The following is a 14823-nucleotide window of genomic DNA, read 5'->3' as shown; positions in this document are numbered from 1 at the left end:
ACAACAGGAAGGTCAGAGATACAGCTATAATTTAATTTTATCTCTAAAATGAAATTGTTTGCTTATTTTATTTGTCCAGTTGGGTTCTTGAGCCACTGTAGCAGTACAAGCCACAGACAAAACCCCTCAGACACCGAGATAGGGAAGGGAGTGGCTTTAATCAGCTGGGAGCATCGGCAGGCTAGTGTCTTAAAATCCGAGCTCGTCAGATGCTGAACTTCTGTCCCTTTTAAGGGCTCACAACTCTAAGGGGGTCCGCATGAGACAGTCGTGATCGATTGAGCAAGCCAGGGGGTATGTGACAGGGGCTGCAAGCACCAGTGGTCCGAGTGAAACAGAACAGAACAGGAGGTTTCACAGTGTCCTTCCATACAATGTCTGGAATCTATAGATAACATCAGTTGCTAGATCAGGGGTCTAATTTTAACTACCAGGCTTAGGTCAGGCAGGCCCAGGCCTGGTTTCGGGTCTGGTTCCTAGGCACCAGGCTACCTGCCTTTAGTTTTGCTTTTCTTTCCTTTTCTGAGTATAAAACAATATAAAACAATATGAGAGGGTCTCTCTCTTCCCTCACCACCACATATCATAATGATTTTGATTTTAAGCCAGATTATTATTTTATTTGCCTACTTACGAAAGCTTAAAGGATAGGTTTTATTTTCTCAAACTGTAGACAATTCTACTTGAGCTACTCAAAATAGTGTATTCTAAATTCATAAAAAATAACATTGAGAAAAACACTAGATCAGTCTGAGAAATACGAAAAGAATGATTACTAAATATGTTTAATTTATAGGCATGTGACTCAGACTACAGCTGGGAAACCAGCTCTCCTTGGGAACTTATTTAAAATCTCAGATTCTGTAGCTCTGCCCCCAAGAGATTGTGGTTCCAAAGATTTGAGGTAGGGAGTTTCCAAATGATTTCTTTGTAGGTAATCTCAAGACACACTTGGAGAAACACTGGTTTAGAGAACTGAGTTTAGATTTAATTATAGCAATTCCTCATATCTACTGTGTTCTATTTGTGTTTCATGAAAACAATGAACTGGAGTTTTAAGAATTTCATTACATTTAATTCTTAATATAATCACTATCCATAGTAGCTCATATTTGTTGCACTAGTATAGTATAATAGTGAAGTATATGGGCTTTGGATTCAGATTGCCTGGGTTCAGATTCTAAGCCAATCCTAACTACCTGTGTGACTAAGGCAAGTTACTTAACCCAACTTCCCAGCTTCCTCATCTGTGAAACAGGAGAAATAATACTTCACAGGGTTAGCTGGGGATTAAATTATTATAATGTATGTAGTGTGTTTATCAGTGATAAAAGCACTTTTAAAATATTAAGTATTTGCTAGGCATGGTGGCTCACGCCTGTAATCCCAGCACTTTGGGAGGCTGAGGTGGGTGGATCACTTGAGGCCAGGAGTTGGAGACCAGCCTGGCCAACATAGTGAAAACCCATCTCTACTAAAAGTACAAAAATTAGCTGGGCATGGTGGTGCACACCTGTAATCCCATCTACTCAGGAGTCTGAGGCACAAGAATCGCTTGAACCTGGAAGGTGGAGGTTGCAGTGAGTGGAGATTGCATCACTGCACTCCAGCCTCAAAACAAAACAAAAAAAATATTGCGACCAACTTGTGAGTAGCTGCCATAATGTTCTTGTTTTACTCATGGGGAAATTAGGTCTAGAAAGTTTGAGTAAATTATTCAAGTTCATGTAGCTGGAATGCAGCAGAGGCAGCATGAGGCTCAGGCTGTTAATAAGCCTATGTGTTGGGTCCTGCTCTATACTGTTTCCATGATCCAAATGTCCCCAGCACCCACCCCACATGGTGGGTACAAATGTCATCTCAATAAATACTTAACCCAAGTCAGTACCATTCAGAATGTGTTCCACAGACCTTCAGCATCAGCATCATCTGGGAGCTTCACAGAAATACAGATTCTCATGCCTCACTCCAGACCTACAGAATCAGAAACTCTAGGGATGGAATCAGTAATTTACTGCTTACCAAGCCCTCCAAGTGACTCCGATGTAAGTTTAAGTTGGAGAGCCCTAGGCTTAGATCAATGGTTCTCAACGTTGACTGAACATTAGAATTTCCTGGGAAACTAAAAACTTCCCAAAATGCTCAAATGCACCCAGACCAATTAAATCAGAATTGTTAGAGCTAAGATCCAGGAATCAGTTCCCAAGTGATTCCAATGTGTGCGAGATTCAGAAGAACTACCCTATATTCTTTTGCCTGATAACCCCTCTCTGTGAAACTGAGTGGCATTGGTCCCCTCCCCATCTCTCACATAATTTCCTCCTTGTTCCACAGCTCCGGGATTCCCTAGGGGTATCTCTCAGATGCTGAGGGTAAATTGTGGACTATGACTCCAGCCTCCACTGCCATGTCCCGTCCACTCTGGCCATCACTGGCACAGCCTTTGCACTTATTCCTGGCTGCCAGCATTCAGGCCCACAGATGCCTTCTCCTGGTGCTGAGTCATTCACTGCTCAGTTGCAGATCTGAACCAGGGCAGGAAGTTTAACTCCCTATCCTCTAAGTCCTGCTTTCTCTGAATGCTCCCAGAAGAGGCCCTAGGCCAGGAGAGTTTAGTGGGACAGCTCTGTTTGTTTACAAGATAGGCCTTTGTTTCAAGATGTTCACAAACACTCTTGAAGTAGCTCATCTGGGATGTTTTAGATGCTATTAGTTAGAAGTGTCACTCTCCTCCAGTCTTCAGCTCCTGTGGCCAGTCTGTTCATTGTGCCAGATTCCACTTGAAGTAGCTGTAAATTCTCCTTCTGGGGATCTTCCATTACGCCACAGTTTTCCGATAGTCATCAGCCCCTGATTCATCAAACATGCTTGCATACATTGGAATCTCCTCAGCTTCAATGGCACCTGGCACCACATGCCAGACGTATTACTGGACCAGCCAATGTGCTTTCTCTAAATATAGAGAATAGGATACATTTAGCACTGCTATTTAAATTTCATAAACTATGATCACCTAAGTATAAAAAATTCATTCAGAATCGACTTGATTGAGAAACTGAAATTACTAGATTTTTCACACACTTTATATTTAATCGCCAAAACTTTTATATTTTGAGATAATTGCAGGTTCACATGCAGTTATAATAAAACAATCCAGAGAGCCCATATACCCTTCATCTTGTTTTCTCCAGTGGTAACATCTGGTCTGACTAGAGTACCATATTACAACTAGGAAATTGACATTGATACAACGCGTCAAGTGTATTCAGATAGCACCAGTTTTATATGGACTCAGTTGTGTGTCTGTGTGTGTTTGTGTGCGTATTTAGTAATAAGCAATTTCATCACACACATAGATGCATATGGTCACTACAATTCAGTACAGTTCCGACACAAGGATCCCTCACACCACCCATTTACAGCCACAACTACTTCCTTTCCTTTCCATTTCCTGAAGCCCTGGCTATCATTAATCTGTAATTTTGTCATCTTGAGCATACGATACAAATGAAGTCATACAGTGTGTTGTTTGTACGCTTTTCTTAGTGCTTGCTCTAGGTATTACAATATACAAAGATATCATCATTGTCGAGTCTACTGGTAACGGCATTTTGCCACATCCGGTAGAGTACAGAGACCTTCTTCCATTTAGATCTCTTTACCCTCCCAGGTTCTTAAAGATGATTGTTGTAAGTATTGGCTCTACCAAGATTAGGACCATGTCAGATGCATGTTATAATTTTTGCCTTAACCATCAAATGTGATTTAAGAAACTCATGAGAAAGACAATTTATTATATTTACCCCTATTTCTTTTACCAATTCCAATATTCTTTCCTTTTTGAAGTGTTAAGCCTTCTGCTATTTCCTTTAGCCATTTTTCTAAATAATAGATTTGCTACCAACGAGTTTTCTTACCTTTTGTTCATCTAAGAATGTCTTTATTTCCCCTTCATTCCTGTCAGACATTTTTGCCAGAAACAGAATTTGAGGTTTACAGTTCTGTTCTTTCAGTGCTTGAAAAATGTGCCACTTTATTCTGGCCTCTATGGTTTCAGAAGAGAAATCTGTCCTCATTTGCATTGGTGTTTTCCTATAAGTAACGTATTGTTTCTCTCTGGCTGCTTTCAAGATTTTTCTTTGCCTTTCGTTTTCAGACTTTTAAGGATGATAAGTTTTAATGTGGATTTCTTTGGAATTATTCTATTTGAGATTCTTTAAGCTTCTTAAATCTCTATATTTCTGTCTTTCACCAAATGCAGGAATTTTTCAACCATTATTCCTTTGAATACCTTTTTCAGTCCCACTTTCTCTCTCCTGAGGATCCGATGGTACAAATGTTAGCTCTTTTGTTATTGTCTCACAGGTCCCTGAGACTCTGTTTATGGTTTTTGTTCGTTTGTTTGTTTTTGTTTTTTGAGACAGGGTCTTGCTCTGTCACTCAGACTGTAGTGCAGTGGTATGATCTTGGCTCACTGCAACCTCTGCCTCCCAGGCTCAAGCAATCCTCCCACCTCAGCCTCCCAAATAGCTGGGACTACAGGCATGTGTGACCACACCTGGCTAATTTCTTGTATTTTTTATAGAGATGGGTTTCCACATGTTTCCCAGGCTGGTCTTAAACTCCTGAGCTCAAGCAATCCACCCACCTCTACCTCCCAAAATGTTGGAACTGCAGGCGTGAGCCACCTCACCTGGCCTCTGAGACTGTTTTTATTTTTTTCAGTCTACACTTTTCTCTGTTAATCTGGAGTAAAATCTGTTGACCTGTCCTCAAGTTCACTGATTCTATCCTCTGTCATCTCCACTGTATTATTGAGCCCATCCATTAAGTATTTTATTTAGCTTATTGTATTTTTCACTTCTATAATTTCCATTTGGTTCTTTTTTATAACTTCTATTTCTTTGCTGAGATTTTCTCAGTATTTTTCGCATTTGTTTCAAGAGAATTTGTGATTGCTTATTGAAGTATTTTTATGATGGTTGCTTTAAAATTCTTGTCAGATAATTCCAGCATCTAATTCATCTTGTTGTTGGTATCTGTCAATTGTCTTTTCTCATTCATGTTGCGATTTTCAATTGTATCCTGACAGTTTTTATATTATATTCTGGATCATATTTAATCTTCTTTTATTAGCAGGCAGCCCCCTGTTGAGATATTGAAGACTAGGTAGATGTGTATGTTTAGCTTCCTGACACCATCCTGGCAAAAAGGGAGTGCTGACTCATACTGCCTCACTGCAGTGGGGTGGGTGGGAGGAAGCTCAGCTCCCCATTTGGCCCCACTGACACCTTCCCAGTGAAAGAGAGGCACTGACTCCTACCATCTCCTGGCCTCCAAATGGGAATGAAAACTCAGCTGTTGCAGGAAGTAAGGGACCCCGAATGGAGGGACCGGCTGGAGCCATGGCAGAGGAACATAAATTGTGAAGATTTCATTTTAATATGGACATTTATCAGTTCCCAAGTAATACTTTTATAATTTCTTATGCCTGTCTTTAATCTCTTAATCCTGTTATTTTCGTAAGCTGAGGATGTACGTCACCTCAGAACCACTGTGACAATTGTGTTAACTGTACAAATTGATTGTAAAACATGTGTGTTTGAACAATATGAAATCAGTGCACCTTGAAAAAGAACAGAATAACAGTGATTTTTAGGGAAGAAGGGAAGACAACCATAAGGTCTGACTGCCTGCCGGGTCAGGCAAAAACAGCCACATTTTTCTTCTTGCAGAGAGCCTATAAATGGACGTGCAAGTAGGGAAGATATCACTAAATCCTTTTTCTAGCAAGGAATATTAATATTAATACCCTGGGGAAGGAATGCATTACTGGGGGGAGATCTATAAATGGCCGCTCTGGGAATGTCTGTCCTATGCGGTTGAGATAAGGACTGAGATATGCCCTGGTCTCCTGCAGTACCCTCAGGCTTACTAGGGTGGGGAAAAACCCGGCCCCAGTAAATCTGTGGTCAGACCGGTTCTCTACTCTCGATCCCTGTTTTCTGTTGTTTAAGATGTTTATCAAGACAATACATGCACCGCTGAACATAGACCCTTATCAGTGGTTCTGCTTTGCCTTTGTCCTCTTCCCTCGGAAGCATGTGATCTTTGTTCTGCTTTTTGCCCTTTGAAGCATGTGATCTTTGTACCTACTCCCTGTTTTACACCCCCTCCCCTTTTGAAACCCGTAATAAAAAACTTGCTGGTTTGAGCCTCAGGTGGGCATCACGGTCCTACCGATATGTGATGTCACGCTCGGTGGCCCAGCTGTAAAATTCCTCTCTTCGTACTCTTTCTCTTTATTTCTCAGCTGGCCAACACTTACGGAAAATAGAAAACCTATGTTGAAATATTGGGGGCAGGTTCCTCTGATACTCAGCTTTCTGCTGGGCTCCATTGTTACCAGGGAGTGGGAAAGGAGGGGGCTAACACACACAGCTTTGTGGCTTCAGGGTAGCTGCAGGAGGTCAGCTTCTCACTGGTGCTGCTGAAACCTGGGTGGTGGTGGGGGGCATGGAGGGAAGTAGATGGGCAATGAGAATCCATATCCCACCCCCTCATTTTGCCTGGTTGTTTCTGGGTGAGGGCGGGAGTGGGGACCAGAGTGCCCATTAGCTCTATTTTGCACATCGTTGTACAGTCTCATTGCTGCTGGGTGGGGGTTAGAGGTTCAGTTTGCTGCTGCTCCTTGTTGACTCTACCCTGGTGGGAGAATAGGAGCACTGGCCGCTTCTGCTGGCAGGAAAGGGAAGACTAGCTCCCTGATCAGTCCTACCAATACCACGGGGCAAGTGAGTCAGAGCACCACCATCTGATGCCACAGAGACTGGGGATGGGGAGGAAGATCAGCTCTCAACTCCATCTCACTGAAACTGTGGAGAAGGGAATATAATTTTCCCATTAGTACTTGGCAAGAGTAGGGCAGGTATTACCAAAAAGGCTTCCTATTGCAAGGGCACCAGCTTCTTGGTCCTTTGACTAGGAGGAACAGACTTTTCTTAGAGCTTATTTTGTCTGTACCTGTTGGCAGCTCTAGGTTGGAGGCATCTGCAACACCCTGTCTGGGATATATGAGAGGCAATAACGAAACTTACAGAACTTACCAGCAGTTTGTTTCTCAAGTCCCCAAATCCCTAGGCAGTCCACCTTCTTTCCTCTTTTTAGTTTCCCTAGGTCTGTTTGTTGTGTTATGGCCACAGTTGTAAGAGGGAGCATCTGCAAGAAATGGAGTGCTCCATCTTGACTGGAAGCAGAAGCATGATCTATATTTGATTTTTAAAAGAAATAAATAGATAACAGGTATGTTGATACTAACAGTGAATTCATTTAAGCAGCTTTCCAGGATATTATAATTTTGTTTGGCCCAACAGTCTACATCTGTCACATGTGTTATGCTATAGTGTGTGACAAAAATTAGTTTTCCAAAGGAGAATATTCTGGAAATAACTTCACAGTATCAAAGAAAATTAAATGATCTTCTCTGTAGTTTTGTGTGGGCATATCAAGATGAACTTAATTCTCTGAACAATGGTAGTTTTCAACTTAACTAGAAACCAAATTCCTAACCAATTTGGCTAAAAGAAATTTTATTACATCTAAAAAAATTTGGAACAGAGTTAGATTATAGACCAAATATGAAGACAGTTTTAAAAATAACAGTGCTGGTGAAAAAGAGCCTTAATACTCACAGATGCAATGTCTTTCTTAAAGTATATGGACGTTATTACGTAGACATCTCCCCTGGGCAAATGAGACAAAAGTATGCTTGACTTTCAGCAAGAGGATGTTACATTAGATTGTTTTCTTTCTTTCTTTAATAGATAAAATTAATATATGCTTCTGGAAAAATATTCAAATAATACCTAAGTAAAAAATGGAAACTGTAATAATTCCTTCCTCCCTTAATCTTCAGTACTCTTCCCATGGTTAAGAGTTTTGGTTTGTTTGGTTAGATTTTTTTTGAAATAGGCTTCAGTAGTCAAAGATTTATGTAAACAGTAGAACTTGAAATCATTCACTCCCTAAAGACTTTGAAAACCAATCATGGCAAATGACTTAGGAAAAGTGGGGAAGAGCTTTCTCTTGGGTCTGTTCCAGCTTTCAATTCGTAAAGAATAAGATGTGGCTACACTTTAAAATATACACAGAAACACACACATTTCACATACTTTTCATCTGAAAGGACCAGTTCAGTGCACCTTCAGCAGTGTGCTTATTTCTGACTTTACTTGGAACCCGGAAGTTGTCTTCTTGGAAGTACAGCATGTGGTACACAGTGAGCATTCAGTGAGTATCTGTTGAACGAACTGTAATTATTTTAAGAGGGAACAACATATTTTTGTCTTCCTCATAAACATGATTCAGGCAGAAAATAATGCAAAAGCTTACAAACATAATCTATTCATCAACTAGCCCTCATAGACTCAGCTCAAAATCCATAAACTATGAAGTCTTGCCCAAGGACCCTCATGAGAAGGGCTCGCTCCCTTTTTCCAGCCCCTCAGGCTTTGTTTAATACCCTTTCGTGCTGCTTAGCACAGATCTTTGTGGTGGCTTGCTGGGTTTAGGTACTATCTAATAGAATGAAAACATTCTCTTGGTGTGCATACACCATCTCATGCACTCTAATATTTCCCACTGTTCCTGCCACAATGTCTTGCATAGAGAAGGCATTCAATAAATATTGATTGAATGAAGAAATTGAATAAACCACATCTTGATTTCAAGGGAACACCAATTTAGCCACCGAATTGGCTTTTTCCTTTTGTTCATATCTACATTTGTATGATAAGCATCACTATTTTGATTATATTTAGTTAGAAAGTATGATGTTTCAAATCAAAGAGTTTATTCATCTGTAATATTTTGCTAAGTTGTTTGCAAAATGAGACACTTGGGACACATTTGAATTTCTACGGTGACAGCAAGCCTTGAATCTCCCAAAGAAATTATTTGAAACCCTTTGTTCAAAATCAGTCGCTGAGATCTGAATGTCTTCTTGGTTAATGCTGAGAATTTAAATAGCGTTCAGGGAGACCAGGAGGGTAAAAGATACTTCATTGGAAATGACACATGCTCTAAGAATAGAGCATTATATTTTCCTATCATGCCACATTTCTTTGTAAAGGTATATTCATTTCACACTTTCAGTGTGGTGATTATGAGATGTTATCTGGACCATTTACATTCACAAATATTTGAGAAAACAAAGAACATCTGTTCATTCTTGGCTGCTGCCTGATACCAGCCTTAAGGTTTTTAAACCCTGTTTATGTGATTGTGACTGAATCAGATGATTTGGAAAGATGTACTCAATCTATCCTTTTGACATTGCAATGAAATAAATGTAGGAAACAGAAACAATAAACCTTTCATTCATGACTGATTCTCTCAGATACACACAAACATATTCCAGGTGAGAAAGTAGGCAAATTTAACATTTAACCTTTCACATTTAGTCAAAATAAGAGTTAGTTTCCAGATAGATCAAGGAAAACTCTGACTACATAAAGATGTAAATTATGGAATAATATTTTAGGGTTTGATATTTAGGCCTGAGGTGTGCACACTTTTAGAAGGACCCAGAACACTGGAGCTGTTCTAATACATAAGGCTTTCTGCCTCATGGGATCACTTTTGCCTTTTCTCTTATCATTTTTGGGGCCCACATCCCTGAGTTGGACAAAATAAACTCAGTATAAAGTTTTGCACTGCCAGGTATGAAAGCAAAGCCTGAGCCCCTTGTAACTGCATTTGTCTGTGATTCTGATTTAGCATTTTCAGTTTTCTATTCAGAAAGAAATGAGAGGGAAGAGGTGTTGTAGGCCACTCCCCCATCACCCTCTTTCTACCCTCATCCCTCTCTCCTCCGCCTCGCCCACTACCTTGAGTCAGCAGCTTAGTGATGCGATCCTTGGGTGGACACCAGAAATGGTCAATTATGCCAATCTAAGAGATCAGCTCAAATTAAAGCTTCAGGGCTCTCCCTCTGAAACTTCAAGAGAGGGGCTCCGGACTCCTTATCATCACTGAACAGGGAACACAGAAAGTAGATGGCTACATACATTGGTGAAGGAATGAGCCCAGTGTGAATCTTTTGTGAAAAATATAAGTAGTGTGCTGTAATATTAAATTCACTAGAATCTCTCACTGGAAAATTGCATGTTTAAAGAGAGTTTGCAAAAACATTAACTGAATAGAGAGCACTTTGCTTGTTCATCCTTAAAGAATGTTCTCACCTTAGGGTTACCCAACCATTGCAGGTATTTCTTTGATGATGTAGTATTTTACTCTGTTCTGTCCTTTGGGTCATGCTCAAGGTTGTTCTGATCACTTTTCAAGGCCCATATCATAGTTTAATGGCTGATTATTTTCTCTTCTCAGTCCTCAAAGGCTGGCTCTTCTCTCTGGAATATCATAAGCCATAGGCCTACTTATTTGGATGGGTGCCAGCATTCACGCACAAGTAACGGCTTAAGAAGGCTTTTCAGTTGTTTTTATTTTGTACGTACAAGTTCTGTAGGTACACAGTGCTAGCTTTAGATAAAGCCTTTGTTATTATTTTTAATTTATGAAATTAAATAAGAGGTGGTTAAGATGAACTGGTTATCTGTAGTCTAAATTAAGAACAATTTTGATAATAAAATAGCTGTAAAGATGTTTTTCTAAAAGAAGTGCTTTCAGACCCTCCACATGAAGACAATGCCTTCAGCAGTATATTCATATGGTTTAGTTTTATGTTTGTGGTAGACCAGTTTTTAAACTACAAGTTTGAAACAGTTCAACAGCTGACTTGGAAACCAGAACCCACCCTCTGAAATACATAAGTGGGATATATAAAGATGGTATAATCCCAAGGGCAGAGCCTGCTCTGAGTTTGACATTCTTTAGTTCCAGCTGTTGACTAGAGATAATTTACTTTATAATAGTAGGACCAAGAAATGCTTTTAATGCAAATTCTTTGCATTGCATGTCTCTCTTTGAAGAACAAGTGGACATTCTTGCAGACTACCAGAATAGGAGGCTGTTTGTCTTTTCTCAGCCCAGCGGCTATAAGTAGATATGGAAGCCAAGGCCTTATGAATTTTATGCCACATTTAGTTTTATTTTAGGGAGGTTACAATATAGAGCTTTACTGTTTTTTCCTAGTTTATCACAATAAACACATACTATATTAATAATGAGGGAAATATTGTTTTAAATTGCCAGTTGTACTTACCATGTTAAGAGGAAAATCAAAATGACATTATAGTTTACAGGTAATGGGTTTTTTTCATTAAGCAATATATGCTATTTATTTATTTATTTATGTTTGAGTCAAGGTCTTGCTTTGCCGCTCAGGCTGCAGTGCAGTGGTGTGATCACAGCTCACTGCAGCCTGGACATCCCAGGCTCAAGCAATCCTTCCACCTTAGCCTCTGGAGTAGCTAGGACCACAGGTGTGCACCACCATGCCCAGCTAATTATGTATTTTTGTAGAGATGGGGGTTTCGTCATGTTGCCCAGACTGGTCTTGAACTCCTGGATTCAAGCAATCCACTTGCCTCGGCCTCCAAAAGTGCTGGGATTACATGCATGAGCCACCACACCTGGCCTATGCTTTCACTGGGATGGAAAAAACTACAGATATATACGCAAGTCATGGCAGACTCTTAGCTACTTGTAAAATGGCCATCCCAATTGTAATTTCAAATGTTCTCCATTGTTCCTACAAATTCATTCTTATCTATCTATTCATTCATTCTTTGTTTTGTCCCACACAAGATTTATGCCAGCTTACAAAGATAGAGAGAAAAATGAAAACTAAATTAGAAGAAAAATAAAAATAAAAAATAGAGATGGGTGTGTAAAACAGATCAAAATGACCTATAATCGCTGTAACAATTGGGCCACATATGTGGTTCTCTAAAATTTTTCTTAGCCAACACCAAAAGTGAAACCTTAGCTGGTCACTAGATTCAGGGAACACAAATCAAAACAAACTAGTTCGTTGGTAGATGTGCTTCTGCCCTTGGTACCAGAGTCAGACAGGGAATTCTCCCAAGGAGGCTTATAAAGAAGATTGTGTCCTATGATGAACATCCATGAAAACATCCTTACAATGTCCTTACAATAGAGATGGTGACCTACTCTTACACAGCCCCTCAACATAGGCTGGTGACATCATATCAAAGAACAGTTGGGGCTGGGCACGGTGGCTCACACCTATAATCCCGCACTTTGGGAGGCCAAGGCAACTGGATCACCTGAGCTCAGGGGTTAGAGACCAGCCTGGGCAACATGGGGAAACCATGTCTCTATGTACAAAAAAATTAAAAACAAAACAAAACAAAGAGAACAGTTGGGTAAAAATGGATTCTACAGCTGGAAGTCTGCCCAGCTTCATCTAGAAACTGACCATGTTGACCATATACACATAGAAAGTGGCAGGATAGTGCCAGCCTCTAGGAAATTCTCAGGAAATGTCAACAATTAGTGTTACCATCACCAATATTGTGTGTCAGATGAGTGCTTGATCTTTGCTGGGGAAGAGATGGGCTCTACATGATGCAGGTGAGTGAAAGCAGCCTGCAGGAGGTTTTCTGAGCTCACAGTTCTTACTACTGATGCACGTCTCCCAGCCCTTCTGCTTGCAGGTCAGGCTTAGATCAGACATTGTCATGGTTGGGCTCTCCAGGAAAGATGGATTTGCTCCAGGTAATACTTGAAACACTGAAACTCCATAAATAAAGTCACTGCCAGTGTGCAGAGCAAGTCAAATCTGAGCTAAGAGTAGTAACTTCCAAGCAGAAACTCATGGGCGTGAGCATTTCATTCTTGACAGACAAACTCCTTTTAAGGAATTTAAAAGGCTATCTAGAAATCCTTTCTGATTCTTTCCCGCTGACGTCACCAGGATAGAGGAGACTGAAAATGTGGTCTTTAGTCTGAGTGCGGTGGCTCACGCCTTTAATCTCAACACTTTGGGAGGCCGAGGCGGGCAGATCACTTGAGGCCAGGAGCTCGAGACCAGCCTGGCCAACATGGTGAAACCCTGTCTCTACTAAAAATACAAAAATTAGCCAGGAATGGTGATGTGTGCCTGTATTCCCAGCTACTCAAGAGGCTGAGGCAGGAGAATAACTTGAAACTTGCAGTGAGCTGAGATTGCCCCACTGCACTCCAGCCTGGGGGACAGAGCAACGCTCTGTCTCAAAAAAAAAAAAAAAAAAAAATGTAGTCACCAGGATCCAGAGAAGCATCTTCCTTCTATGTTCCCTTCTATGTTCTCCCTCCTCCGTGCCCCTTCCTCCTTCCCCTGCCCTCCTTTTCTGAGTCTTATTAAATGGTTCATTACAGTTGGTCCTATCATGTTAGAAGACAGTGACGGCTGGGACCTGCCAAGAACAGAATCCATCTGGGGCCAAATACCCTCTGCCTGGGTTAATCCCCTTGGTGGTTGCATATAAAACACGGGGAAGTATGCTGTGAAGATTAGCCATGCCTCATATATTGGACTCTGAACACCAGGATGTGTGGGGGCCTGCAGCCCTCACCATCATGTCACTTTCTCCTTTCAATGAAAACTGAAACCCAGATCCAGCCAGAGGGCAGTGGGGGTGAACAAATGTGTAGGCAAAGAAAATAGGAATGTTTAGGAAGGCTAGATCCTCCCCCCGGTCTGATCTAAACCGAGGCTCTCCCTCCCCCGGCACACAGAATGCAGGAGGGACAGGAGGTGATGGGGAGGGCTCATGGGGAGGAATTAAGTGTGGCTCTGTCTGTTTCTGGCTTCTCTGTAAATACTGTGACACCTCCGAACGGAGGAACAGCTGAGATAAGTGACTGCTAATCCCCCAGTGCCGGGGAGGAGGCTGGGCCGCTCCCTTCCAGATCCCAGCAGATGGTGGATGAAACAGACTTCCCCCGAGGCAAGGGCAGTGGGAACTGTCCCACCTTCTGTTCCTTCAGTTTGCCCTGCACGTCTCCCTCATGGCCAGTCCACGCCGAAAAGGGCTTCACTGGCCCTCAAGAGCCCTGGGGACCCGCCCCAGCTCTGCCATCCCACTGGGATCTACAAGGTCAGCCAACCTGGACTCCAGCCAGCACTGGCAGCTTGGGCAGCATCCAGCAAAGCTCTGTGGGCTTCAGAGAGAACAGCCAAGCAGTGCGGCTAAGTTTTTCACTCTGCAGAGAAACATACCTAGGGGAGAACAGTGAGGGCTCATTTAAAATGCAGATTCAATCTTCCAGGGTGGAACCCAGGAATCTGAATTTCTATGAGGCAGTCTAGGTAATTTGGCTGGAGGCGGTTCTAGCATCACATTCTGAGAAATAGCAGACCAAGTATATGTGAAGGTATTTTTGGTGGTGGTTGGGAATAGGGCTTAAAATCAGGTGCCTGAGTTTGAATTGTCACTCCACCATTTGCTCACCTGTGTGACCTCAGACAAAAAAGGCTCAGTGGTTCCCTACCTCATAGGATATAAACTGGTCTTTCTCAAACTGCAGGAAGCACAATTTAGTCACAATTAGCAATAAAAAAAATAACACTCGGAGACTGCACAACAATGTGAATGCACTGAACACTTTTGAACTCTGTATTCCTAAATGGTTAAGATAGTAAATTTGATATATGCATATTTTACCATAATTAAAAAAAAATCTAGAATGTACCAAAGAGGAGATGTCATTTTTTTCTTCTTTGTTTTGTAATTTTTTTTGAGATGTCATTTTTATATGCTTAAAAAGCCAATCTCAATTTTCAAATTAAGTGGATCTGTAAAAAGTAGTTTAAATAAAACTCAGTCATGAAATCTTACTTTCCTGTTGGTTTACATT

At 41.2% G+C, this 14823-nt stretch overlaps 2 long non-coding RNA genes across 2 annotated transcripts in view; both read right to left on the bottom strand.

Annotated features, from left to right (window-relative positions):
- Positions 1–524: 524 nt before the first annotated feature.
- GJD2-DT (GJD2 divergent transcript) overlaps positions 525–14823 on the bottom strand; it is a 57840-nt gene continuing 43541 nt past the window's right edge. The window contains exon 3 of the long non-coding RNA NR_120329.1: positions 525–2952. This is a non-coding gene — a long non-coding RNA (GJD2 divergent transcript). The remainder of the gene's footprint in view (positions 2953–14823) is intronic.
- LOC107984776 (uncharacterized) lies at positions 7113–8371 on the bottom strand. The gene is made up of 3 exons (XR_001751477.1): positions 8172–8371; positions 7692–7743; positions 7113–7265 (listed from the first exon to the last, which is right to left on the bottom strand). It is a non-coding gene; the product is annotated as an uncharacterized LOC107984776 (long non-coding RNA).

Source organism: Homo sapiens, chromosome 15 (assembly GCF_000001405.40).
Source record: "Homo sapiens chromosome 15, GRCh38.p14 Primary Assembly".
NCBI lineage: Eukaryota > Metazoa > Chordata > Mammalia > Primates > Hominidae > Homo > Homo sapiens.
This window is presented reverse-complemented; position numbering and strand designations above follow the sequence as displayed.